General features: G+C 38.7%; 1 protein-coding gene across 3 annotated transcripts in view, besides 2 other annotated features; it reads right to left on the bottom strand.

The window, feature by feature from the left end:
* The window catches only part of DNAAF10 (dynein axonemal assembly factor 10), a 27,723-nt gene continuing 663 nt past the window's right edge, over nucleotides 1–27,060 (bottom strand). For 2 of the 3 annotated variants that reach the window (NR_046234.2, NM_001256476.2), the window contains exons 2-7: nucleotides 17,663–17,763; nucleotides 14,781–14,911; nucleotides 11,890–11,991; nucleotides 8,938–9,053; nucleotides 7,495–7,629; nucleotides 4,280–4,995 (exon numbers count right to left, since the gene is read on the bottom strand). Coding sequence is in view for 2 of the 3 variants with exons in the window: in NM_001256476.2 (NP_001243405.1) it covers nucleotides 4,897–4,995; nucleotides 7,495–7,629; nucleotides 8,938–9,053; nucleotides 11,890–11,991; nucleotides 14,781–14,911; nucleotides 17,663–17,763 (684 nt within the window). In the remaining variant the exon portion in view is untranslated. Of the gene's footprint in view, nucleotides 1,642–4,279; nucleotides 4,996–7,494; nucleotides 7,630–8,937; nucleotides 9,054–11,889; nucleotides 11,992–14,780; nucleotides 14,912–17,662; nucleotides 17,764–27,060 lie in introns of those variants that run through there. The other variant, NM_138458.4, reaches the window with a different exon arrangement.
* Nucleotides 26,966–27,060: part of a biological region, named in NCBI's record as "H3K27ac hESC enhancer GRCh37_chr2:68383902-68384834", that runs on past the window's edge.
* Nucleotides 26,966–27,060: part of an enhancer, noted in NCBI's record as "H3K27ac hESC enhancer chr2:68383902-68384834 (GRCh37/hg19 assembly coordinates)", that runs on past the window's edge. NCBI's record gives its function as "activates a minimal SCP1, AML or CMV promoter by ChIP-STARR-seq in primed H9 embryonic stem cells {active_cell/tissue: H9 hESC(primed)}" and the evidence as "EXISTENCE:reporter gene assay evidence [ECO:0000049][PMID:30033119]".

Below are 27,060 nucleotides of genomic sequence, written 5' to 3' on the forward strand. Positions count from 1 at the left end.
TGATGTGACAATGTTAACTTTATTACTACTGTTAAGGTAACAGAATCAAAGCTTCTGTAGATCTCAAAAACAGAAGTTTATTCATAAAATGCATTTTTAAAGTATGACCAAAAATAAGACTACAAAACCCCTACAATCTTGTACATTTCACCATCACTTACCACAGTCAAAAACCAAAAGTCTCACCAATTCAGTTCCTGTATTTTAAGTAAAAAAGAGCTCTTTAAAATCAAAGCATTTTGTTTTATGAATTAAATTGCAGAAAATAGCTACCCAAATCTAGACCAACCGTGCCGTTTTGAGAGAGAGAGATATATATATATATATTTGTTTTTTTTTTTTTTGAGACGGAGTCTCACTCTGTCGCCAGGGCTGGAGTGCAGTGGCGCAATCTCAGCTCACTGCAATCTCCACCTCCTGGGTTCAAGTGATTCTCCTGCCTCAGCCTCCCAAGTAGCTGTGATTACAGGCGCCCGCCACTAAGCCCAGCTAATTTTTTGTATTTTTAGTAGAGACGGGTTTTGACCATGTTGGCCAGGCTGGTCTCGAATTCCTGACCTCGTGATTCACCCGCCTCAGCCTCCCAAAGTGCTGGAATTACAGGCGTGAGCTACCACGCCTGGCCCACCATTTTGATATTTTATACAATAATATTATGTCCAGAAAATTACTCACACTGAAATCTCTCAAAATGTATTTATGAAGGTTAATTCAGTTTTTCCAAGGCAAACTCTTTTAAACCAAATGAAATGATTCCCACCACAACATTATAGACACTAAAACATAACACAAGCATAAAGATAAAATATGGAACTTCAGGGACACAGAACAAATCTGAAATATGTTTAATTATAGACAACTATTGACTTAGAAATGGAAGGGAGAGAAAAGAACTGGCCCTGGAGATAGTTTACTTGGTGCTTCTGATACCCACGTGCAGCAGCAAGTCAGCAAACAAGCCCCGAGAGAGGCTGGAGGCTGGCCCAGAGGCTTGTGGCTGGGGTCTTTTATCATCAGCCAAATCCAGCTTTGTTCAATGAGGGTCAGAGGACTCCAGAACCTATCTTAAATTGTGTGAGTGTTCCTCTGGAAGGTTTCAAGTCCAAAGTCTTTTTTTTTTTTTTTTTTTTTGAGACAGTCTTGCTCAGTTGCCCAGGCTGGAGTGCAGTGGCACAATCTCGGCTCACTGCAACCTCCGCCTCCCGGGTTCACGCCATTCTCCTGCCTCAGCCTCCCAAGTAGCTAGGACTACAGATGCCCGCCATGACACCCAGCAAATTTTTTTTTATATTTTTAGTAGAGACGGGGTTTCACCATGTTAGCCAGGATGGTCTCGATCTCCTGACCTTCTGATCCACCCGCCTCGGCCTCCCAAAGTGCTGGGATTACAGGAGTGAGCCACCGTGCCCAGCCTCAAGTCCAAAGTCTTGAAGTCAAATTTTATTGAGCTTTGTAACGATCAGTACTCTCACCGTTTGGTCAAATGAACTACAGACGCAGAGACCCCTTTTATCTGGACTCCAATCCAAACTTGAAATGGGCTGGGTGGACAACGTAACATTCTGCAGAAGGCTTACAGAACCTGCGACTCCCATTTCTATTCCCTCAGAATCTTTCTTTGACCGCTGAATAGGGTATTCACTGAAAACAAGATCAAAATGGTAAGAGCGCATAAATCTTAGCTTTCACCATTTTATTTTTATACATACACTTCAATGACTCTATTTCTCAGTTGGTTACTGGGACTAATAAATACTTAAAGAATCTTTCTAATACTGAGTTGTTTGCAAATAAAGAGACAATTTCAACCTCAATCCTATCCCAAAACACGTCATAAAAAAGGGTTATTAGTTCTACTAAAAACTTCTAAAAGTCATTTCTGCTCAACGTGTATCTGTATTTTCTCTTTTAATATGAAAGTTCTAGGTTGATCTAGGATTCTTTAATACATTTACTTGGTGCTTTTGGCAATCTTTTATTTATTGTAATTTTTCTCCAGATATAGATTGCTGGATATCACAGGCAAACAATGTGCAAAGGCAATGGCTGTAAGTAACATTTGCAGAACTTCATCTAAACACTTCCAGAATGAAAAACTGATGCCAGCTTCTAACCCTCGAGCTCCATTACACGGACCCAAGCCTAAGGACCTTTTGTGTACCATTTCTATGGGAAGGCGTCACAGGGTGGAGATGTTAGACCTAAATGTAATTGTTTCAAACAAGAAAAAAGTGGTTCTGAGAACATTTTTTTTTTCAGCTGAAAATATAAATTTATACAGTAAGAAAAGCAGAAGGTTAAAGTCATAAATCCTATTTGGTCTAGATTTGAAAAGGGGAAAGAGAACACTCCTCCCCAATAGAGATGTGTTCCTAATAAAATACAAAAGTATCACTCCTCAGAAGGCCTTTTAAAACCTACTAGTATCAATTATGACAACATCTTTATTTCATACATGCTGGCAAAGGCCAAGAACGTAAGAAGCACAAAGCCAATCAGAAGCAGAATGGAAAGGGAAGAAGAATCTACAGGTGGATGATCTACTATTTTCTCTTCCTCTCAAACCCTACAAATCATTTTGATGAAAAAAAATAAAACATTCAGATGAATAAATGGTTTAAATACAGACACCTTTCACATATCTCTTGGCAAAGGCTGCAGTTATTTAGTATTCAAAAGATAACATAAAAAATTTTTAAAACCCTCCATATTATCTGTTGAAGTTTTAAAAGAATATGTGTATATGATTCAAATACTTGGAAAAAAAATCAGCATGTTGAAGTTTTTCATTCAAAAAACAAGTCGTGAATAACTAGATGATTTCTTGTAGAAGCTGTTCGTTCAGTGGTCAATAAATATTTACAATTTAATTGCATTACTACCAAGACAGACTGGCAAATGAAAATAAAGCTAAATATCATTGTACTTAAACCAATTCCCTTTGCTGGTACAATACTTGACAGTAAAACTCCAAACCGATTTGAAGATTAGACTGGACATCTGTTCTGGTTAGGTGTAAAGTTTACATTGCGCTAAACTTCAAATTTGCATACAGACCTAACTTTACTGACGGAACTAAATCCGCTGTAGTAAAAAATTCCAGCTGCGAAAGTGTTCGTGTGCCTCATGGAATACAAATCCATGTGTAGATTACAAAGAAAACTGGGACTAGTTCTTCAAGCGAGCAGCCTAAAGAGTTTGGTCACCAAGTAAAATAGTGATGTGCCACCACATGGCTTCACTAAGGGGACTGGCAGAGTCTAACGTGGGGAGGAGACCGGGATGGAAGAATCAGGGAAGAACAACAGGCAGAGGTGCTAGAAGAAGGGAAAGTAGCAAGTGATCTCTCTACCCCACATTCTCCCAGAACGACTCAAACTTTTCCTCTGCTTTTCACTCAGAAACCATATTGGTTGTTTGTTTGTTTGTTTGTTTGTTGAGACAGAAAAAGTCTCTGTCGCTCTGTCTCACTCTGTCACCCAGGTTGGAGTGCAGTGGTGCGATCTCGACTCACTGAGACCTCCACCTCCCAGATTCAGGCAATTCTCGTGCCTCAGCCTCCTAAGTAGCTGGGACGTGTGCCACCACGCCCGGCTAGTTCTTGTATTTTTAGTAGAGACCCGGTTTTGCCATAATCATACTGCTTCGATCTAAAGTGTTCACTCTGGCTGGGTGCAGTGGCTCACACCCATAATTCCAATACTGTGGGAGGCCGAGGCAGGTGAATCACCTGAGGTCAGGAGTTCGAGATCAGCCTGGCCAACATGGTGAAACCCCGTCTCTACTAAAAATACAAAAATTAGCCAGGCGTCGTGGCGGGCACCTGTAATCCTAGTTACTCGGGAGGCTGAGGCAGGAGAACCCCTTGAACCTGGAGGTGGAGTCTGCGGTGAGACGAGATCATGCCACTGCACTCCAGCCTGGGTGACAGAGCAAGACTTTGTCAGAAAATATAAGATAAAGCATTCGATCTGCTTTTTGTCAGCGGTATCCCTGCACACAGTACTTTAACAAGTACTTTCCAACTGTAGCCCTGTTTTTCAGAACCCCTTCCAGCTTCTCAAAGGAGCTAATAGAGAAGAATTTTATAAATGTGAAAGTCCCAGATATATTGAGGATGGTGTTTTTCTTCTTACATTATTAATGAAACTTTATTTTTGAAATATCCTTCATTTATGGGCTTGCTGTTTTTTCCCTGAGTGATGTTTAAGAAAGATATAATTTTTCCCCTCCAAGTACATATTGCTTAGCTAATAAAGTATTCAGAAATACCATTAACTCACAATTTTTATCAGACCTTTAATTTTTGTTTTGTTTTGTTTTGTTTCCTTTTCACAGGCCAACCCTGAGCAATGATATCAGACCTTTTAAATGATCTAGTATCTGTGATGTTAGCGCCCTTGGGATTCAGAAAGTGGTGTGCATAGTAAAAGCTTTCATTGTAACTCACCCTGCCTAGATATGCAGAAAGCAAATTCAGTGATAAGATCTTTCCTGGAGACCAATCAGCAGCCTCAGGCTCTGTTGGGGTCTATCACAATGATGTTATCTAAATTTAGGCAAGGAACCCTTTCCCCATCTTTTAGAGGCAGTGAGTGTTCTAATCACTTCAAGATAGTATCTGATAAAAGTCTTGGGCCAACTTTTTCATACTTAGAAGACACAACTAAAATGATATACTAAAATGTATCAAAAGAAGATTAGTGTACACTCTACTAAGTGTAAAGTATATTCATACAAAATGCTTAGAAAACAAGTTATGTAACACCATGAAATTTTAAATCATATCAAAATGAACTAAGTCAAAGCAGGAAAAAAAAGAAAAAAAAGTTCAATCTAATCCTACTTTACACCCACAGGTAACTTTAAAAGGAGCAGTGTGCACTGGCAGACTTACTACTTCCAGAGGTGAAGGCCGCCGGCGCCTCCAGCTGTCAGAAAGAGCTCCCTGTTCTGCGGCAGGTGTCGGACCTGCCACACAGTAGATTTATGAGCCTAAATAGAACAAGAGGCATACAACTGGTTTATATGCTAAATGGTGCCCTGGAAGAGAAACGCTGCAAATAAAAAACTCTTACAACTATAATTTCAATGGTTATAAAAGTAATTAAGGTTATTTTCTGGCACATCTCTTTATAATGGCTATAGAGATTTATAGGAACACATAAGAAATTAGAAAAAGCATCATTTTTCTTTATTGCTTTATGAAACAAAGTTCTACTGGATTTTTAAAAAGACAGGTATTAAAATCCATTTAAGTTTATAGTATCAAATACTTATGAAAATAGATTTTACATATTTAAATACCTCTAGTTCATTCTGAGGGGGAAAACACTCAAAATATAAAAACATATACTTTTGTTTATATATACGAAAAATGTGGACTGAATTAAAAAAATACACTTTAGTTCTGAGAGCAGTTTGAGGTTCACAGCAAAACTCAGCAATAAGTACATAGACTGAATTTTAACTAAAATTTATAGACCGAAATTTAACTAACAGCTCCCAGAGCCTTATTTTCAATTTATTGCCATTTACCTGTCCAGTCTTCAAAATAAGGACCATGAGGACTTACAGACAATGTTTATGGTCATAATAAGCTAAGGTCTTTATCATTCACATTAGACTAAAAGATTAAAAACCAGCAACTGGAAGGTTAACAGGTTGTTAGCACCTCAAAAGCAGCCAGTAAATCCATCCCGGCGCCACTGCATTAACTGGGGGGAACTTAGGAGAGAGAGAGAGACAGAGGGAGAGAGAGAAAGGAGGCGGGAGGGAATGAATGACTGCTGCTTTGTAGAAGCAGTGGGGCTGGCTATCGTGGTACACCACATTTTAGTGAGTGATTAGTCTTGACCTTTGATTTCAATAGTCTTTTGAGAGAATTACCATTAGCAGATAAAGACTCATATCTCAAAACACACATTTTGAGTGTGTAACAGTCTCTCAGTGATTAGGTTCAAGCTGTCGAAACATTTTATTTTGTAGCTTAAACTTCTCTTCTTCTTCAGGAAGTTGAGAAAAACACAAAAAGCAAGAGGGGAAATGACCTCTTAAAATACACCAGAGTCTTCTATTTGGCAGATTTAGCAATTACTGGATTAACTAAATATAATTTTAAAAAACTGGGCCAGGTATAGTGGCTCACGCCCATAATCCCAGCACTTTGGGAGGCTGAGGCAGGAGGATCACTTGAGGTCAGGTTTCAAGTCCAGACTGGGCAACACAGCAAGACTCTGACTCTATGAAAAAAAAAAAATCTAATTAGCCAGATATGGTGGCGTGTGCCTGTACTCCCAGCTACTTGGGAGGCTGAGGCAGGAGGATCACTTGAGCCCAGGAGTTTGAGACTGCAGTGAGCCATAATCATGCCACTGCACACCAGCCTGGGTAAGAGGGCAAGATTCTGTCTCCAGAAAAAAAAAAAAAAAAAAAGCCAAACAAACAAAACAAAAAACCAGAGATGACACTATTATGTATAGATAATGAAATATGTGTTGCAAATTATACATGGAACAGTTTAGTAAAGTGATTTATGTTGTTGATAGATACTTAATATATTCTGAAATGACAAAAGCAAACCAATATTATAATTTATAGCTATCTTGTTAAGAATTTGGTTTTCATAAGGAAGTGACAATAATTTACACACAATAATAATAATGAGACAAAATAGAAAGGTTCAAGAAATCCTACTGAATCCACAGGAGAGAGAGAAGCAACGGAGTAAGTTCTCACTTCCTGAGCAACTTGTATATTTTAATCTTATGGAAACAAGGAATCTGTAACTGATCTTTCTTTCTTTTTATACTTGAGGAAGTTCAAATCACATTTCCAATCCATTTCTTGTGAATGACAGGACCTTTCTGCATGAATTTTCTGTAATCCCCCCAGTCCAGAAACTATCTTTTTTTTAAACCAGTATTTTCCCTTTGCCCTGCTTTCCTCATCTATTGGTCTAACGCCATAATACCGCATTTCCCTCTCAGCTACCTCAAATGCAAGGCAAAGTTAAGTAAGTAAATATTTTTGAACATTTACTATAATCACAGTACTCAGTGATTCAAATAATTTCATTTAATATAGCAAACTGGAATATAAAACAAAGTGTAATGAAATGACATCATGTACATATAGTTTATTTTGAAAAATATATAACCAGGTATTAGCACAAATATTATATACTTATTAGGAAACACCAGGCTGGGTTTTGTTGATCAAATTCCTAATATCAGCTAGGTTTCTTCTAATTGCTCCTAAACTACAAAATAAGATTCCTACCTGAGATCTTTATTATAATCAAGAAGTCTAAAGTTGATAAACTTTGGGGAAGTACTCTTTGCACAGAAAAACTTGTCAAGATCTCACAGGAATATATCAAAAATAGCTCCCTTCACATAAAGACCTGGAAGAAACCTTGGTGACTAATTCTACTTATCAGTCTAAACCAAGCTATCATTCTTCTTCATAGAAAGACATTTCCCTCATATTTACCTTTTCTGAAACAGAGGCAAAACCTTTGGTTGGATGCTGTGTTCTCATGTCAAAAACATGGAACTTTCCTTCCAGAGATGTGGCTACTAACTTATTCATACTTATGTCTTTTCTGTCAAACTCCAAGCTACACACCTGAAAACAGAGAATACTTATTATTGGTAGTCTCACCAGTATTACTCAGGAGGCTCTTTTATACTAAGTAAAACAGCTTTAAAATGGTCAGATAATGTGAAAGCACTCCAACAATCATTTATCTTTTAACTTTTCCCATAAAAATTTTTTTCCAGCCAGGCGCGGTGGCTTATGCCTGTAATCCCAGCACTTTGGGAGGCCAAGGCAGGTGGATCACGAAGTCAGGAGATCAAGACCAGCCTGACCTACATGGTGAAACCCTGTCTCTACTAAAAATACAAAAATTAGCCAGGCGTGGTGGCGTGCGCCTGTAGTCCCAGCTACTTGGGAGGCTGAGGCAGGAGAATTGCTTGAACCCGGGAGGCAGAGGTTGCAGTGAGCTAAGATCATGCCACTGCACTCCATCCTGGGCGACAGAGTGAGACTCTGTCTCAAAAAAAAAACATTTTTTTTTTTTTTGGCCAGGCACAGTGGCTCACGCCTGTAATCCCAGCACTTTGGGAGGCCAAGGCAGGCAGATCATGAGGTCAGGAGATTGAGACCATCCTGGCTAACACGATGAAACCCCGTCTCTACTAAAAAATATGAAAAATTAGCCGGGCATGGTGACAGGCGCCTGTAGTCCCAGTTACTCGGGAGGCTGAGGCAGGAGAATGGCATGAACCTGGGAGGCAGAGCTTGCAGTGAGCCAACATCGCGCCACTGCACTCCAGCCTGGGCGACAGAGCAAGACTCCATCTCAAAACAAACAAACAAACAAACAAACAAAAAACCCATTTTTTTTTTCCATTAGTAAGATCAACAAAACAATCTTGGGTTCCCATGCTCAGTGAATGCCTTTGGGGAATCATTATTTAACTTTTTACATTATTTAACAGTTAAGTAAAGGCTAACAGTAGAAAACAGGAGGAAACCACATTCTTTGCTAAAGGTGCACAACTAAGGAACCAAAAATCTGAGCTGGGGAGGTGACTACTGTTTCAGGCTTTCTGATATTGGCATAAAAAGACCTTTTACTTGCTTATTTTGAAATCTTACTACATGGCCCACAGGGGTCTGCAGACAGGCTGAAGGGGCTGGTGACTCCCCCAACGCTGTGCAAACCACATGTGGGTGTGAGCTCATTTTCTGAAGAGAGGATCCAGGATTTTCATTAGATTCTCAAACGGATTTGGCCTCAAAAAGTTAAGAACCGTTGGCAGAGGGGTTGACTCAGATGAGTTACTAGAGGTGTTTTCCTTTTGTAATAGTTCAGAGGTGAATGGAAACATGCTCAGAGAAACCAAAAAGCCTCAGAATGTACTTTACCCCATTTTTGATGTTTGTCTCCCACCGTAATGCCATATTTCTGAGATCAAATAGTTTGATATCCCCATTGTCATAGCCAGCACAAACAACACGTTCTTCTTGATTATAAGCATTGCCTGGAAATCAAGATACAACATTTCACATCCTTATAAATGCATCCTTATAAAGGCTGCTTTAAAAAAGTCTTATGAAACTAACATAAAACTTATATTAAATCAGATCTTAAAAATCACACTGGGTAGTATCCCATCTTACCAATCCTGAGAGGACATCAAGATTATTAATGTGGTATCCATTAGTTTTTTGTTTTGTTTAAATTTCTGATAAGAGTTTGGATATTTGTCCCCCCAAATCTGATGTTGACGTATGATCCCCAATGTCGGAGGTGGGGCCTGATGGGAGGTGCTGGGTCATGGGGCTGGATCCCTCGTGAATGGCTCAGTGCAGTCCTTATGGTAATGAGTTTTCGCTCTTCTAGTTCATGTGAGGTCTGGTTGTTAAAGAGTCTGGCACCTCCCTCCTCCCCTCTCTCTTGCTCCCTCTCTCGCCATGTGACATGCCTGCTCCCCTTTTGCCTTCTGCCATGAGCAGACAATTCCTGAGGTCTCACCAGGAGCAGATACTGGCACCATGCTTCTTGGATACTCTTGCAGAATCATGAGCCAAATAAAACTCTTTTCTTTATAAACTACCCAGTCTCAGGTATTCCTTTATAGCAATAAAGCAATTCAATGCAAAGCAGACTAACTAATATAAGCTCATTCACTGTAATTCCATACTGAAAGGATATGTGAAAGTGTTTATTGAATTCAATTTAAATAAAATGCTTTATAGGAGATCGAGACCATCCTGGCTAACACAGTGAAACCCTGTCTCTACTAAAAAAAAAAAAAAAAGAAAAAAATACAAAAAATTAGCCGGGTGTGGTGGCAGGCGCCTGTAGTCCCAGCTACTCGGGAGGCTGAGGCAGGAGAATGGCATGAACCTGGGAGGCAGAGCTTGCAGTGAACCAAGATCGCGCCAATGCACTCCAGCCTGGGCAACAAAGCGAGACTCTGTCTCAAAAAAAAAAAAAGAAAAGAAAATGCTTTCTACTATATCTGCAAAGGCTAGCAGGCCAACTACAGCTCAAACACAAAGGGGTCTCAGAGAATAAATACAGTTATACCTCTATTGCTTTCTTGGCAGTAACTATATTTGAATGCAAACAGAAACTTTAAAACTAATTTATCTTGAAAAATGTTGCTCTGGTGTGATTCCATCTTTACAAGGAAATCTGAAATAAGTTGTAGCACACTGTGACATATTTTTAGTAGTGTGGATGATCATACCTGAAGTAAGTTTATAATCTGTGGTTAAACTCATCCTCCTGGAATTAATTCAAGGATTTTTTTCCAAGTATCTCTTGCTGAGGAAAGAGTGTTAAGTGAGAAGGAGGCCCCTGTCACTGTGCTATGCTATCTGGGCATCCTATCCCAATGCTTTCATTGCCCCTAACTTCGTTTTTCTCATAAACTCCAGCCCTGCATTTCCACTGTGGGCCCCACCTAGATGGTACACCATCATCTTAAACTCATGATGTCCCAAAATGACCTTACCATTTTCCTTTACAAATTATCCCACCCCTTGTATAATTTTTTCAATTAATACCATCATTCACCCCACAATCAGCCTGAAAACTCAGTCATCTTGGACATTATCCTTTTCTTTGTTCTTCATATCCAAAAACATTCCCAAATTCTATGTATTCTGCATAATATTATCTTCTGAATCATCCACTCTGCTCCCTTCTCAGTGCTTGTAACTTAGGTCTTCCCTGGAATACTGCAAAGAGCTCTTGAACTCATATTCTCTGTACCACTCATCACTCCCGCTAAATACCACTAGTTCATTTTCCTAAAGCTCGGATTTCATCTCTTCCTTGCAAACACCATCAAAAACTTAGAACTATCTTCAGGCCGTCCTAACACCTCTGGCCATTGTCCTGAGCCATCTCTAAGGATATTCCTACTATTACTCTCTTCTACCGTTGGCCCTCCCTATCCATGGGTTCTGCATCTATAGGCAACCAACAATGGATCGAAAATATTTGGAAAAAAATTTGCATCTACACTAAAAACGTACAGACTTCTTGTGCTTGTCATTATTCCCTAAACAATACAACAATGACTGACACAGCATTTATATTATATTAGGTATTATAAGTAATCTAGAGATGATTTAAAGTATACGGGAGGATGTGTTAAACCATTCATGAGAACTCCGCCCCCATTAATCACCTCCCACCAGGCCCCACCTCCAACACTGGGGATTACAATTGGACATGAGATTTGGTGGGGACATAGATCCAAACCATATCAAAGGGCAAATGTCAATTAGTCTTCCAAAGTCAATATTCATTTTAAGTAAATTAATGAAGGAATACAGTTATCAAAATTTATAAGAAATAACTTTGTAATGGCAAACTATTTTCTAGAAAATAAACATACTCCGTATATAGCGTAATGTATGATTTGTTAGGTAACTGTTTGCATTTGAGGCTTGGTTTATCCCCATTAATGGTGTCTGACTTTAAATTAGGTCAATATTATCTAGTTAAACAGGAACACATAATAATAAGCACAATTCTCAGCACTTTACATGTAATTAACTCATTGACTCTTCATGACAACACAACTAAGTAAATTCTATTATTAATTCCATTTTATAAATGAAACATCCAAGGAACAGATAACTTTGGTAACTTGCTCCAGGCCACATGGCCAATAAGTAGCAGGTGAGAATTCAAACTCAGGCCCCAGAGGCTGACATTAACCACCACGTGTATTTGCCTCAGTAAACTATTAGAATAATCCACAAAACAGACCATAAAGAGACTACTGTGAAATTTCTTGCAGCATCGTGCTTTTTACCATCTGATAATTCAAATGCAAGAATTCTTCAATAATTTACCAAATGCCACAGTCCAACAGTCTCTCTTGTTTTCTCCTTGTACAGGTTCCATATTAGCAACAGGATCATCTTTTTGCCTTGGGTCCCACACCTTCACAGTTCCTGCCATGCATAAAAGTGAGTTGGCAAAAATTCAAAAGTAAATGATTATGTTTCTTTTCTACATTCTTCTTCTATGGCTTCCTGTGTACATGGCAATATGACAGATGTTATGACATCTGAAAATATCCACATTGTTCTGACTTCTAATTGGGTAAGTTGTATTTAATATCAGAGATATCACCCATATGTAACTATCTGACTTGGTTTCCAAATTAATAGACACACAGAAAAGCCAACAAGTGTTCCTAAGTTATCTACGAGTGATGACTGACAAGGCAAATGTGAATGTTACGTAATTCAAATCATGAGCCTAAAATGAATGTGTTATTTTTTAGGGAAAATACCAGTGTTGTTTTAATTTTTACTTTTTTCCTTATTACCCATTTTAACCATTGGCATGAATACACTCTAATTTTGAATTAATGGTTTCTTATGTGAGTTCTAGAATACTATTTCTTTTTCTTTCTTTCTTTCTTTTGTTTTGAGATGGAGTCTCACTCTGTCGCCCAGGAATGCAATGGCGTGATCTTGGCTCACTGCAACCTCCGCCTCCTGGGTTTAAGCGATTCTCCGTCCTCAGCCTCCCAAGTAGCTGGGACTACAGGCATGCACCACCACGCCCAGCTAAATTTTGTACTTTTTTAGTAGAAATGGGGTATTGCCATGTTGGCCAGGCTGGTCTCAAACTCCTGACCTCAGGTGATCCACCTGCCTGGGCTTCCCAAAGTGCTGGGATTACCGGCGTGAGCCACTGTGCCTGGCCTAGAATACTATTTCATATACAGTTAAGTTTAATTTTCCTGTGGCAATAGTGAAGAGGAAAATGTTAAATAAAATTAACAAATTCTCAATTTAATTTCAACCCCCTTGTTTTAATTCATGTTATGGGACTACTTACTAAAATAGTGTCACTACCTACAAAAAATGCAAATGCATGTAATAAAATGGCTAAAAGGCAAGTACCTGAGAATAAGAAAAGGGCAAAAAAAAAAAAATCCTTAAAAGGAAAACAACTCAGGAAAGGTGGAGGTACAACATTAGATTTATCTCCAGGGATAAAATAAAGTTGATCATTAAAAGGCTGCTTTACTTTAATATTTATTTATTTAGAGACAGGGTCTTGCTCTGTCACCCAGGATGGAGTGCAGTCGTGCGATCATGGTTCACTGTAGCCTTGACCTCCTGGGTCCAAGTGATCCTCCTACCTCAGCCTCCCAAGTAGCTGGGACTATACCACCATGCCTGGCTAATTTTTAGTTTTTGTAAAGATGGGGTCTCCCTATGTTGCCCAAGCTGGTTTCAAGTGATCTTCCCACCTCAGCCTCCCAAGTGCTGGGATTACAGAGATGAGCCACTGCACCCACCAAAAGCCTGTTTTAAAAAGAAAAAAAAAATCCCAGATATAGAGATAAGAGATTATCTTTCTCTATAGGATTCATACAAATTGATAAGATCTCAGCCCACTTCAACCTCCCACTGCCAGGTTCAAGCAAAACTTGTGTCTCAGCCTCCTGAGTAGCTGTGATTACAGGTGTGTGCCACCACACCTGGCTAATTTTTGTATTTTAGAAGAGACAGGGTTTCGCTATGTTGCCCAGGCTGGTCTCAAACTCCTGGTCTCAAGTTATCCGCCCGCCTCAGCCCCCAAAGTTGTGGGATTATAGGCGTGACTGTACCTGGCCCAATAAATTTTTTAAAAAATCATAAAATATATTTATTCCAAAAGAGTTACACATATGACAATACTCATTTACTCATTATTTTTAAGCCACTCTCATAAGACAACAAATAAAAAAAGCAAACCAAAGGCTTATAAGGGAATGGTTAAGTACGGCCATATGATGGAATATTATATAGTCATTAAAATGATAACTGTGGAAACAGCAACATTTGCATATGACAAAACATTAAATAAAAAAAGTTTCTAAGATACAAATTCATATTCACACTTATAACTATGCAAAATTATATATAAGACCTAAAAGGAAAAGAAAAATCTAATGGTTGTGGTAGTGTGGTAGACTGAATGTTATTTTTCCCTCTATACTCAATATTGCTTTTATGATTAAAAAAAATAAGTGATTTCTAAAACACAGCTGCTCTTGAGTACCCACTAGAAAATTATATCTCACTTTTCCTTTAAAGCAATTTCCTCATGGTCTTGAGCGGCCATTAAACAACTAGCCAAATCAATTATAATAGGTACCAAATTTCTCATGTACCCCTCGTGAAGCAACAACATTTCTGACTCTATTAAAGTCATGCAGTACCACTTCGGACACCAAAAGACCTGGCCCTTGTTGGTCACTGCAGGGTGGAAGAGCTGAGTTGGTGCCTTTGGAACTCTCTATAATGCTTAGTGGATGGATCACAGAACTTCAGTTTTCAAGCAGCTGTCAATATGACAATTTTCACAAGTACTAATTCTGCCTTTTAAAAAAAGAAAATGAAAAGCTGCCACCCACATTATATCGTCAGCTGCCTCAAAAACCTGTAAAGACATTTTAAATCCTTCAAGGTTCAGAGGAAACCATCATTGTTAGTAGCTGAACCAGCTCAACACTAAAATAGTGTTAATAAGTGCTATGAATCTATCTCAAAATAGCCAAAAGTCTGAAACAATCGAGAGATAAGCAATCAAACTTGTCTGTTAAAAAAGTAGCAGCAAGACTGTTAGATTTAGGGAGTCAAGGTGACTGAAGGGGATTTTTTACTCAGAGAGGATGTACTGCTGCATAGAGATTTCCATTAAAATAAATAAACAAAATACATAGAATACAGGGACTCACCATCTCGGCTGCCAGTCACAATTTCAGGTGCTCCTTCTCCAATTCCTAGTCCACCTATGCCATCTATGGCATTTATAATTTCTTTATGGCCCTTTACAGAATATACTGGCATCTCTGGAGCTTCTAAATTCCTAAACAACAAACACAGCTTCTTACACCACATATCCCAAACATATAAGTCTACTACTGAAATTCAAAAAGATATATTATAGTTAGATTTTTTCTGTATAGAAATTAAGGTTTTGCTATGAAGATAGTTTATACATTTATTTACACTTCTGAAATTTTCTCTCCATTCAACTTCTTTCAAGCCCCCATTGAGAACTGTCATCATTCAACTTGAAATTCCAATCCTGAGCTCACCATACTTAGTGTTCTTCAAAGACGATCTATGCAAGACCCCCACAGATGAATTACCAGGTTTGCTTGTTGATAAACGTGGACTCATGGGCTCCTCCCCAAACATAATGAATCAGGATTTCAGATGGGTCCCCAAAACAATGACTGTGGTACACTGAAGTCTGAAAAAATACTGCTTCAAATATAGAGTAAAGCCCAGGGAGGTCAAGGCTGCAGTGAGCTGAGATCATGCCACTGCCCTCCAGCCTGGGTGACAGAGCAAGACCCTGTTTCAGAAAAAAAAAAAAAGAAAGAAAAGGAAAAAAACAACCATGTATCTGAGGACGTGGCTCTCAGGACAGTTTTTTTCAATTCTGGGTTTTAGTGGCTGTTACAAAAATATGGGAGGTGAATAGAAGATGGACACCATTAGCTGGCCTTACTAAATCATCATACTCATTGTTAAATTCCATCCACCAAATATGCAAAGGTTTTTGTTAAAACGCAGCTAGTATATTTCTATCTAAATATATATATATGTAAATTCAAAGTGATATAGAATTCTTCCAAAGTAGGCCTCAGTAGTTGGATCTTATGACCTTTTTAAAGGATAAAATATGAGTAGTGTTTACTTTGTACACATTTCTTCCTTTATAATGTACTATTTTCCCACTGAAGTCCACACTGATTTTCTACTGACATATTTTTCAGTGTGTCATCATACTGGTAACAATATGTATTACTGCAAGACAGGCTGAAGTTCGTCTAATAGGTCAATTCACAGAAAGGCATTCAGGAAAGTACTGATTACCACAACTGCACTACTGGGCAATGAATGGCTTGACTAGGTGATCCTCACACATTCCTTTTCTTACCCGTCTCCATTTCTCCCCTTCTTTTGCTTTTCTACGGAAACTTCTATTTACATTTCTCTTAATAATTTAGTTTTCAATAACTTACAGATTTTTTAAATGAATGTGACTATACATGAAATATAATTCCAATTTATTATTGGGCCAAGATTTATTAGTAAAACCTTACTAATAAAAAATCTATGGCCAGGTGCAGTGGCTCACGCCTGTAATCCCAGAACTTTGGGAGGTCAAGGTGAGTAGATCACCTGAGGTCAGGAGTTCGAGACTAGCCTGGCCAACATGGCGAAACCCCATCTCTACTAAAAACACAAAAAATTGCCAGGCGTGGTGGTGGGCACCTGTAATCCTAGCTACTTGGGAGGCTGAGGCAGGAGAATCACTTGAAACCGGGAGGTGGAGGTTGCAGTGAGCCGAGATCGCATCACTACACTCCAGCCTAGGCAACAGAGCGAGACTCCATCTCAAAGACAAAAAAAATTTTTTGAGATATTTCAACCTAGTTTAGAAATGACATTTATCATCATTATGAACTAATCAAGAGATTAAACAAGATTGTGGTTCTACTTGAAATGACTGTTTTACTATTTTATAGACTTTAAAACATTATTTTTTAACATGAAATTATAAGATTTATCAATGAAAGTAAATTGGTAATATCTGTACTATACTAGGAAACTGTATTAGAAAGATGGTCAATGGTACTATCTAATATTTTGAATACTCTTGTGTTGAAATATATTTATTTTTTAAAATAGCATTCAAACTTGCCTTTCTCACAGTATCTCTCGAAGCATATGACAAAGCATCTAAGAACTAATGAATACATGCTAATTTAATTATTAAGGAGTTAAAGCAAGGAGAAATTGAAGTAGTTCCATTTTGTTTAATGTTATGATTCTAAGACAGATAAATATGTTATAAGTAATGTAATTATACAGTAGCAGGTTCTAAGTGAGACTCAAGAAAGGTCATGTTAGAAAACATGATGCAGGGAAGACGGGTTTTCTAGAACACTCTAGAACTTTCTCCATAATATTTTAGAACACTGCTGTATACTTTAAATGATTAAAATAATAGATTTTCCTGCAAAGTAATTAAAAAGGAATTTCAATTCATTCCACTCTAAATAAGAAACAACTCTAGGTAAAACACGAAAAAGGCATTTGGCAGAATTGTGATTTTGCCCATTCAAAAAAAGTTTATTTTGATTTGTTCAACAGATATGTTTCTAAAAAGTTGTGCTTAGATGTTAAAGCTTTAAAAAACAAACGTTCTGCAGTGCTAAATCTCTTGCTGAAATATAAATAATATCTACTTTTTCAGTGTTATTCATATGCATTTTTATATACTGTATTTTTAAAGTTGGAGGGGGAACAGACCTTTATTTACAAATACATGGCATTAAATGCTAGCACCAAACTGCGTGTGTGAAAATAAGCATTGATAATATTATCCAAAATATCTAAAGAAAAATAGGTTAGTATTTTTTAATGGATTTTGAATATGAAATCTAGAAATATATATTAGAGACAATTCTCATATTTTTATAGTTAAAATGGAACATAGAAAGATTTTAAAATTAAAATTCTCTCTTTCAGAGAAAGAGTAATGAAACTATCAAATAAATTGCCTATCTCATCTGTCTGAATACTGACTAAATCATCTTACCATATATGAAGGTTTCCACCAAAATCTCCAGTAGCTAAATATCTCTGCTGTAAAGATGTTGCACCAAATGTTCCACATTTAATAGGTTTGGCCTTTTCAATCTTCATAGAAGGGAGGAAGAGAGGATATATTATTTATGTAAGCAGATATTTATAATCTATTAATATCATATTTATGGCTCTATTATGGCATTTAAATAAGACAATATAAAAGGCAATTAAAACATCTTCTGATGAAAATAATCTTGCTTTTTCCTTTACTCATTTTTCTTTAAAATATGTAACTGTCAAAAAGAAAAAGTGTTAATTTGCCTTTCCTCTCCTCTCACTAATGAGACATTCAAATGCTGACAGCTCTACAATCTCTATTGCAAATATGAAAGTTTCAGCATTTCATGTGATATTCTTTAAGATCCTCAGCAGAAATGAGAACATAATGAAGATATTATCTTTCCAGATGGTTATGGGAACAAAAATGTTATGTGTCTCTTATAGTTTTCCCTGCAGAACCCTATAAACTAAAGATGTTTATGTCCCACTTTCTCTGGGGCCTTTTCAATGCAGAGAGATTTATAAACTTGTGTGTACCAAGGCGCTACTATTAGTATGGATCAGCCAATCTTTTGAGGTTTCTTTACTTTAAAAGGCTACTGCACCAAGTATTGTATATAGTCACATTAGTAAAACAATCACATACGAATATATTATTTAACGTATGGGGTTTATGGAAATCAGGTGAAGAAGACTATGTAGCCAAAAAGGTCCTTGGAAAGGATCTAACACAATACCCTCCTGTCATAAAAGGAGACCAAAGCATAGGGCTGTACAGATTTGCCGAACTCATACAACATTCAACATTTAATGGTTTCTACTACATGCAAGTCACTGAAGTAGGCAAAAGAGGATACAAAGATGAATGAGATTGGCCAGTCCCTCAAAAAGCTAACAACTCAAATATCAGTTCTTATCTGGTTCCTCCAAAATATACATATTCGTTATACTACTCCTATGCCTCCCTGGGTCTTCTATTCACCTTCTTTTACTTCCTGATGTTTCTGATTTCTCCATGGCCCCTCCCGCCGCCAACTCTACCTGCCCAGGTCACTGAAGTCCCTCCTACAGTCTAACTGCTTTTCCTGCTGCCTTGGCTCCCGAGATCTCCGGAATCTGGAATTAGATGAGGCCACTGATATCTGTCCCACATCACACTCTTGCCATATAACACTTCCCACTGACTGTCAGCCTCAATGGGGCAAAACTATTCCTCTTGGTCTCTAACAATTTTTACATTTTTAAATTCTTAATGTTTATAAAAGTAATACCTGCTCCCTATAAAAATTCAAACAAAACAAAAGGATGGAAGGAAAAAGTGAGTCCCTTTAACACTCTCCAGAAGTAATCCCCACCCTTCTAGGCCTTCTACGCATTTACAAACACACATGGTTTTGTTTCAATACAAGGCAGATCATGGTACACTGTCCTTTGATGTGTTTCACTTAACAATACATCTGGATAAACTTTATTCCTTTTGCAGTGTTCTCCAGTTTCCAGGACATCTCCCCTTGTAACTCTTCAGTTCTCTTCATCCCTCCCAGGTTGGCCTGTTTCAAATAATTTTAAAAATAATTTCCCTGCCACTTTCAATGTTTATCCAGGCATTTCTATATAGGGTATATTATCCATATAAGGTATACATAGCAATTTTCACGAATAAAATAGAAGTCACTTAACACAAACTATAACAACTTTTTTTCTCTGATTCAAAGGTTACCATTATATGGTATAGGGCTTTGGAAACTCCCAGACTGTTGAACTTTCCTATTGTTTGTGATCTAGATAAATTGGAGTTACTACGTGGCCAAGTCTAAAAGCACTCATACCTTCCTCAGAATTGTCTAGTAAACGAAATCAGCCACGTACAGTAACATGTTTGTAAAAGACCCTATTGATGAGAAGCATGGAACCACAGAATGTTTCTCTTTTTAATGCACAAGTGGACTGAGATGGCATCAGTTATTCACTGCCGCAGAAAATTAATATTCATTTATTCCCATTTTTTCCCAATTTTATGAAAAAGAGTATCTGAAAATGGGGCAACACAGAGGATCAAAATTTTGTCAACAAAGCACATGGTTTCTAACTGCAGGCAATTTATGTTTTCCTCACCATTCCCCTCTCCTCAAATAAAAGTACCTGAAATAATATATTAACAGTGGTAAAGCACTTAATCACTATTAGGGCACAATTTCTATGGTGAAATTAATTCTGAGTTCCAACCTATGCCAACTGGTGAGACGGCTATCCACTCTTTCCTCCCCTTGGTCTCACACTGAACCTGGGTCTTGCCAGCTCTAAGCCACTGATAATGGCTTCCATGTTCTGAGGCAGAGGGTGGAAGCAGACCCTCTGAGGTAAGAAGCTGGTGGTCCTCATGCACAGCAATGTGGTTCCAGGAGACAGGGGATTAGAAGCTGTGAAGAACTTGCATCATCTATTGACCCAATTCTCTGGGAACATTTTTCTCAGAGAAGCACTGGGAAGACTGGTCTCCCATTTTCTTCCCACCAACCAGCTAAAGCATTCTGCTTCCCAGAATTCCACCGCTGTCCCCTCAAACCTCTGATGAGGGTTTCTGTGATTCCTAGGCCATGGAAGAGGTAAAAACTAACCTACACTCTTTGGTTCCCTACAGTCTTCTAAAATTTTACTGCTGGATAAAAATAAAAAACTGGAAGCAAAAACTTTCCTCCCTGTTATTCTTTTACCCAACTTTCACTTTTAGACCCTTTAGACTAGAGAATCTCAAACTATACTCCTGGAACACACTGATCTTCTGTTACTAACATAATACATTAATCAGAAAATTCACCAAGAACAAAAGCTGATGCATGTGTTGTTTTCAGATTTTAAAGTTTTTTTAAAAATAATTTTCTTAGCTTGCCTGGTAGAAAATACTAGCAAATGAACACCAGTTAAAAAAACTTGGACTGTGTGCAGTGGCTCACGCCTATAATATCAGCACTTTGGGAGGCTGAGGCAGGCGGATCACCTGAGGTCAGGAGTTCAAGACCAGCCTGGCCAAAATGGTGAAACCCCCTCTCTACTAAAAATACAAAAATTAGCCAGGCGTGGTGGTGGATGCCTGTAATTCCAGCTACTGGGGAGGCTGAGGCAGGAGAACTGCTTGAACCCAGAGGGCGGAGGCTGCAGTGAGCCAAGATCACACCACCGCACTCCAGCCTGGGCGACAGAGAGAGACTCCGTCTCAAAAAATAAAATAAAATAAAAAAATAAAAATAAAAATAAAACCTTGGAAGTGAAGACTTAAAAACTGTGTGGTTACTTGTGATGTAAAAATCGGAATCTCTATCTATTTATCTATCTCTATATATAGTCAGATTTTTCTGCTGAAAATCTCTTCCCTGTGCAGAGATAGAACTGACTACTCCAATATTTTATGGTGTTCCAAAAACAGCACTGCAATGTGCAGATTCTTTGACACCTGCACATGTCTGAGAATTGCTACCTTCAAAGGAAAGAAACCAAACTGACAACCAGTCTACACAATAAGCTCTATACATTTTCACAGTTGTCATTGCATCCCTTCTAAAAGTATGTCTTTATTACAAATATAAAGGAAAGAAGTAAAATGTATCTACATTGAGAAGCACAGACTCACAAGAGTGGCATGAAGGCCTATGGTATACAAAATGCAAAAAGTCCTTTGGGATCTGGTCTTGTGTGTGTGACTTCATTTCCTGTTTCCTGCCTTCTCTACTAATTCCAGCCACACCAGACAGCTTGCTTTTTGTTCTTCATACTTGTCAAGGTCTCTTCCACTTGGGCCATTTGAATTTGCTGTTCCCACTGCTTGGACTACTTTTCCCCAGGTCACCATGCCTCTATCCTTCTCTTCATTCAGATTTCAGTTCAAATGCCACATTCCCAAAGAGGTCTTCCTTGTCCCTCCAATCTGAAAAACCCCTAAATTACTGTCACTCACCCTGTTTAATCATCCATTATACTTATCAACAAAATTATTTTATTCATGCAATTATGTCCCCCTTTCTAGAATGTGAGCACCATGAGAGCAGGGCCTTGCCTAATTTTTTTAACGCATAGCAGGCATTCAACATTTGTTGAATGAAGGTATAAATGACCATCCATGAATCTCTCAGCCCTAACACTAGGGACAGACAAACCAGGGCTGGAGTTCACTTTCTTTGCTCTCTCTTTTCTCCTACCATACTTTCATGTGCCAGGGTTCTGACAAACTGTTCAGTTTCTGGTGTCATTGACATGCAATCATGAAAATAGCAACCATCTATTGAACACCTACATTTCAGATACATTTTAGATATTCTTCCAGTCTAGACCATCCCTTTTCTAATATATACAACACTGCAAACTAAGTGTTCAGAACACCACTTTCAAGATGACGAAACAGGTTCAGAGGACTGAGTGACTTGCCTAAGGTCCCAAGAGCCAGATACAATCCAGACTTTTTCCTCTAAACTAGGCTGCCTCCAGGCTTATATGTAAATCAATTAAATAAACATTTTATTATTGGAGTCCTCATTCTGTAAACCTGAGCGTTATTGGAAGTATCAAAGAAATGTTCCGATCTTGATTGCTGAGGTAAATGGCACAACGGCATGAATTAAACCTACTTTCAGATCTCTGCCCTTTGGTTTTTACCTTCATTCATGTCTTTACAAGATATAAATATATGATATTATGCTTCCCTCATGTTCTTTGTCCTTTTCTTAAAGAAACACAAAGATATTTATGGTCATTAGTGGTCTGCTGTGCAAGAACCAAATTAAACTCAAACTGTATATCTTCAACGTATTAAACGTATTATGAACATATTAAACGTATTAAAACTTATCATTTGTGTGCACTGAGGACTGCACTTTGCTCAGAAGGGCCGAGCTCTGTTGGCAAACTGACTTACAAAAGTGGCCATGTTTCCTCTTTCCTCAGACATTCATGGAAATAATAATAATAGCTAAATTAAGAGGACACTAGTGAAGCTAATTTTTCATAGTTCACAAACGGGTTCCCTCTCTGCCCCATTAGATAGTTTATCTACAGAAAAGAAAAGATGAAAAGAAGTTGGTGGTAAATCAAAATTTTTCTTGCTGGAAAACTAGCTGGCAAAAAAAAAAGCAGCTCTATCTTGCAAAAATTGTTCAACAAAGAAAATCAATATATACTAACAATTTTTGCTATGTGATACTGAAAATGGCCATCAATGATGGTCATAATTGACCTAACTGTTCACTTTCTTGCTATAAGAAGTTAAAATGATTAAAGAAGCTCAAGATCAGTAATTCCTGTGTGAGCTATTTTTGTTCTGCATGTGGGTGGGTCTAGTACAGCTTGTCAGTATTTCCTCCTCCACATCCTGGCAATACTTAATTAACATTAAAAGATCTAGCCAACCAAATGCTAACAAGCAGTAAATTCGGTAGCACAGGGGCTAAAAAAGCAGAATTTTATTAGCTTATTGCTATTTTTTTTAATATAAACATCTACAACTGTGTTTCCATTTTTCAGGGCCATCCCTAGTCCATATGGTATCTTTGTGCCAATGAGAAAAAAGTTGCCTTTTATAGGCTGATGAAGTCTCACACATGTAAGGCTTGATGAAGGAAAAAGAGCTTTTAGCTCCCACTTGAGCACTCAGCCAGACACCTTTGTGTGGTGCAAAAAACTGCTCAACTGAACACGGAGGCCCTGCCCTCCATTCCCTATCTATCCTTTTAGAACTAAGATAAAGAAGACTTCAACAAAGACTGATATGCTGATATGCTTCCTTTACATCTTTTCTTCTTAGATGCACGGGCTTTGTGAGCTCCAAGTCAGTGATAAATTAAAAAAAAAAAAAAAAAAAAAAGAACGATGCATGAGTTTTGGAGCACATGACTTAAGGGTAGATCTACGATGATACATCAAGTCTGTTTCCTAATATTTTAATAAATGACCCATCTAGCTCAATGGTTCTCAGCTCTGAGACTCATTAAAATCACCTTGCGGAAGTTTAAAAATACTCTGATTTCTAAACCTTACTCCAGATGCAACAAAGTTGTACTACTGTGTCAGAATTTCTAGGGGTGGGACCAAGGCACAAATGTTTTAAAACACACACACACAAGCCACAAAATGCACTCAAATGATCCTGATGCACAGTAAGGAGTGGGAGTTACTGGACCAGTATTTAACCTATATTTAAAAATTTTTTTCCATTGCACCAGAACAGCCAAACACAATGAAGTTTTTTTTTTTTTTTTTTTTTTTTGGAGACAGAGTCTTCCTCTGTCTTCAGGCTGGAGTGCAATGGCGCGATCTCGGCTCACTGCAACTTCTGCCTCCCGGGTTCAAGTGATTCTCGTGCCTCAGCCTCCTGAGTAGCTGGGTTTACAGGCACGCACCTGACCACGCCCAGCTAATTTTTGTATTTTTTAGTAGAGATGGGGTTTCACCATGTTGGCCAGGATGGTCTTGCTCTCCTGACCTTGTGATCCCCCCGCCTCGGCCTCTCAAAGTGCAGGGATTACAGGTGTGAGCACCGCGCCCAGCCCAGTGTAAGTTCTTAAAGGTATTTTTGTATTAGTTTTACCCTCTTTTTGGACAGTAGGCTCTTTAGGAGAAAGGACTCAACTTTTAAATCTCTTCGGTCCTTGTTAAACACAGTACCTTGAAATAGTGTGTTCTCAGACAACTCATGGTAGAAAAAAAGAATATCCAAAGGATTCAGGTGAAAATATACTTCTTTTTTCTTTTTTTATTTTTTGAGACGGAGTCTTGCTCTGTCACCCACGCTGGAGTGCAGTGGCGCGATCTCGGCTCACTGCAAGCTCTGCCTCCCAGGTTGAAGCCATTCTCCTGCCTCAGCCTCCTGAGTAGCTGGGACTACAGGCGCCCGCCACCACGCCCGGCTGATTTTTTGTATTTTTAGTAGAGACGGGGTTTCACCGTGTTAGCCAGGATGATCTCGATCTCCTGACCTCATGATCCACCCGCCTCGGCCTCCCAAAGTGCTGGGATTACAGGCGTGAGCCACCACACCCGGCGTGAAAATACACTTAGTGGTTATTCCTGGCATTGAGATTATGGGTGATATTTTCTTCGTTTTCCTATTTTCTAAATGTTCTATCGTGGACACATATTATTTTTGCTACAAAAGAAAATTATCTTTTTAAAATTTGCTGAAATTCCCCAGAGTCGCTACAAAAGACAAACTACTCTATTCCACTTGATGGAGTAAGTGTACTTTTGAAATACATACAAATCATATATTTTCATTTTATTATTTTTTGAGACAGGGTCTCTCTGTCACCCAGGATGGAGTGCAGTGGTGCGAACACAGCATCCTTGACCTCCTGGGCTCAAGAGATCCTCCCACCACAGCCTCCCAAGTAGCTGGGACTACAGGCTCGCATCACTATGCCCAGCTAATTTTTGTATTTTTTTTATACAAAAAGTAGAGACGGGGTTTCCCCATGTTGCCTAGGCTGGTCTTGAACTCCTGGGCTCAAGCAATCCACCCCACTGCCTCCCAAAGTGTTGGAATTGCAGGCGTTAGCCACTGCACCAGGCCTGTTCTTATTTTAAAAAGTCACAGGTCTAAGCCCTGATCCTGCCACTGCACTCCATCGTAGGCAAGAGTGAGACCCTGTTTCAAAAAAAAAAAAAAAATTTCAATCATGTCCCATTTTTCTTCGAAAAAGGAATAAATGGCCAGGTGCAATGGCTCATGTCTGTAATCCCAGCACTTTGGGAGCCCAAGGCGGGTGGATCACCTAAGGTCAGGAGTTTGAGACCTGCCTGACCAACATGGTGAAACCCCATCTCTACTAAAAATACAAAAAAATTAGTTGGGCGTGGTAGCATGTGCCTGTAATTCCAGCTACTAGGGAGGCTGAGGCAGGAGAATCGCTTGAACCTGGGAGGCAGAGGTTGCAGTTAGCCAAGATCACGCCACTGCACTCAAGCTTGGGTGACAGAGCCAGACTCCGTCTCAAAAAAAAAAAAGAAAGAAAGAAAAGAAAAAGGAATAAATCCTTTAAATACCTTTTCTTTTTAATGGTGGCTCACACCTGATCCAGCACTTTGGGAGGGAGAGGCGGGAGGATGGTTTGAGCCCAGGAGTTCCAGGCTGCGATGAGCTATGACAGTAGCACTGCACTCCGGACTGGGACAGAGCTACGCCATCCCTAAACAACAACAACAAAAAACAAAAACAACCCAAAATGCAATGTAAAGAAATTTTACTTTGTGTAGAAATCAGGAAGGGCATCATACATTAGATAATCTGAACTGAACATTGGAATAGCAACAGGTAGCCAGGCTTGGTGGCTCACGCCTGTAATCCCAGTATTACGGGAGGCCGATGTAGGCAGACTGCTTGAGCCCAGGAGTTGGAGACCAGCCTAGGCAACACGGTGAAACCCCATCTCTACCAAAATAAAAAATAAAAAAATAAAAAGTACAAAAAAATTAGTTAGGTGTGGTGGCACACACCTGTAGTCCCAGCTACTTGGGAGGCTGAGGTGGGGAGGCGGAGGTTGCAGTGAGCTGTGTTTGCACCACAGCACTCCGGGCTGGGTGACAGATTGAGACCCTGTCTCAAAAAAAAAAAAAAAAAAAAAAAAGCCACTGGTTACCAGAAGCTAAGTGATGAACAATACAAGGAACGAAGGAAAGGTAGAAAAAAATAAGCCATGTTTCATGTTTGTCATTCAGGGAAACTTAAAGCGGGATGGGGTCTTACATACTTTCTATTCTAGGCTTAACAGTCCAAATTGTATTCATCCTTTATCTACCAGTTTAATCCCTACCTCCTCCAAGCAGATTCTCTCCATAGGTTTTGATCCCCAGAGTTAACCTACCCTGCACTTGTAGTCTATTACAACCCTGATCTGATAATGACTGATCATTTTTTCAGGTAACAAAATCAACACTTTTTAAAAACTATAAACAGCTATAAAATGCTAGTTACTATCATTATTCTCTAATTCTTTCACTAGTAATCTTCAAAAAAACCTTGCAAACCTAATCTTTCCACACCCTGCTTAAATCCTTTCAGTTGTGTCCGTTTTTTCTTAGAAAAAAGGCATAAATCCTTTGAATGTCCTACAGATCTTGCAATGTCTGGTTCCTGCTTATCCCTCTAGTTTCTTAAGGAGATAAACTTCTTCCCATCACTGAGCTTCTGCATGTGCAGAAGCCCTGGAAACCTTGTCCTTTACTCCTAGTTTGACCTAGTTAGCTTCTGCACATACCAAAATCTGTTTTCATTCATCCCAAATCTGTTTTCACTCTCATTGAACCGTAACCGTGTTCCTTTGTGTGAGACAACTCATCTCGGTTTGTATTTATGTATCGTTGCTT

This window comes from Homo sapiens, chromosome 2 (genome assembly GCF_000001405.40).
Source record: "Homo sapiens chromosome 2, GRCh38.p14 Primary Assembly".
Classification (NCBI taxonomy): Eukaryota; Metazoa; Chordata; class Mammalia; order Primates; family Hominidae; genus Homo; species Homo sapiens.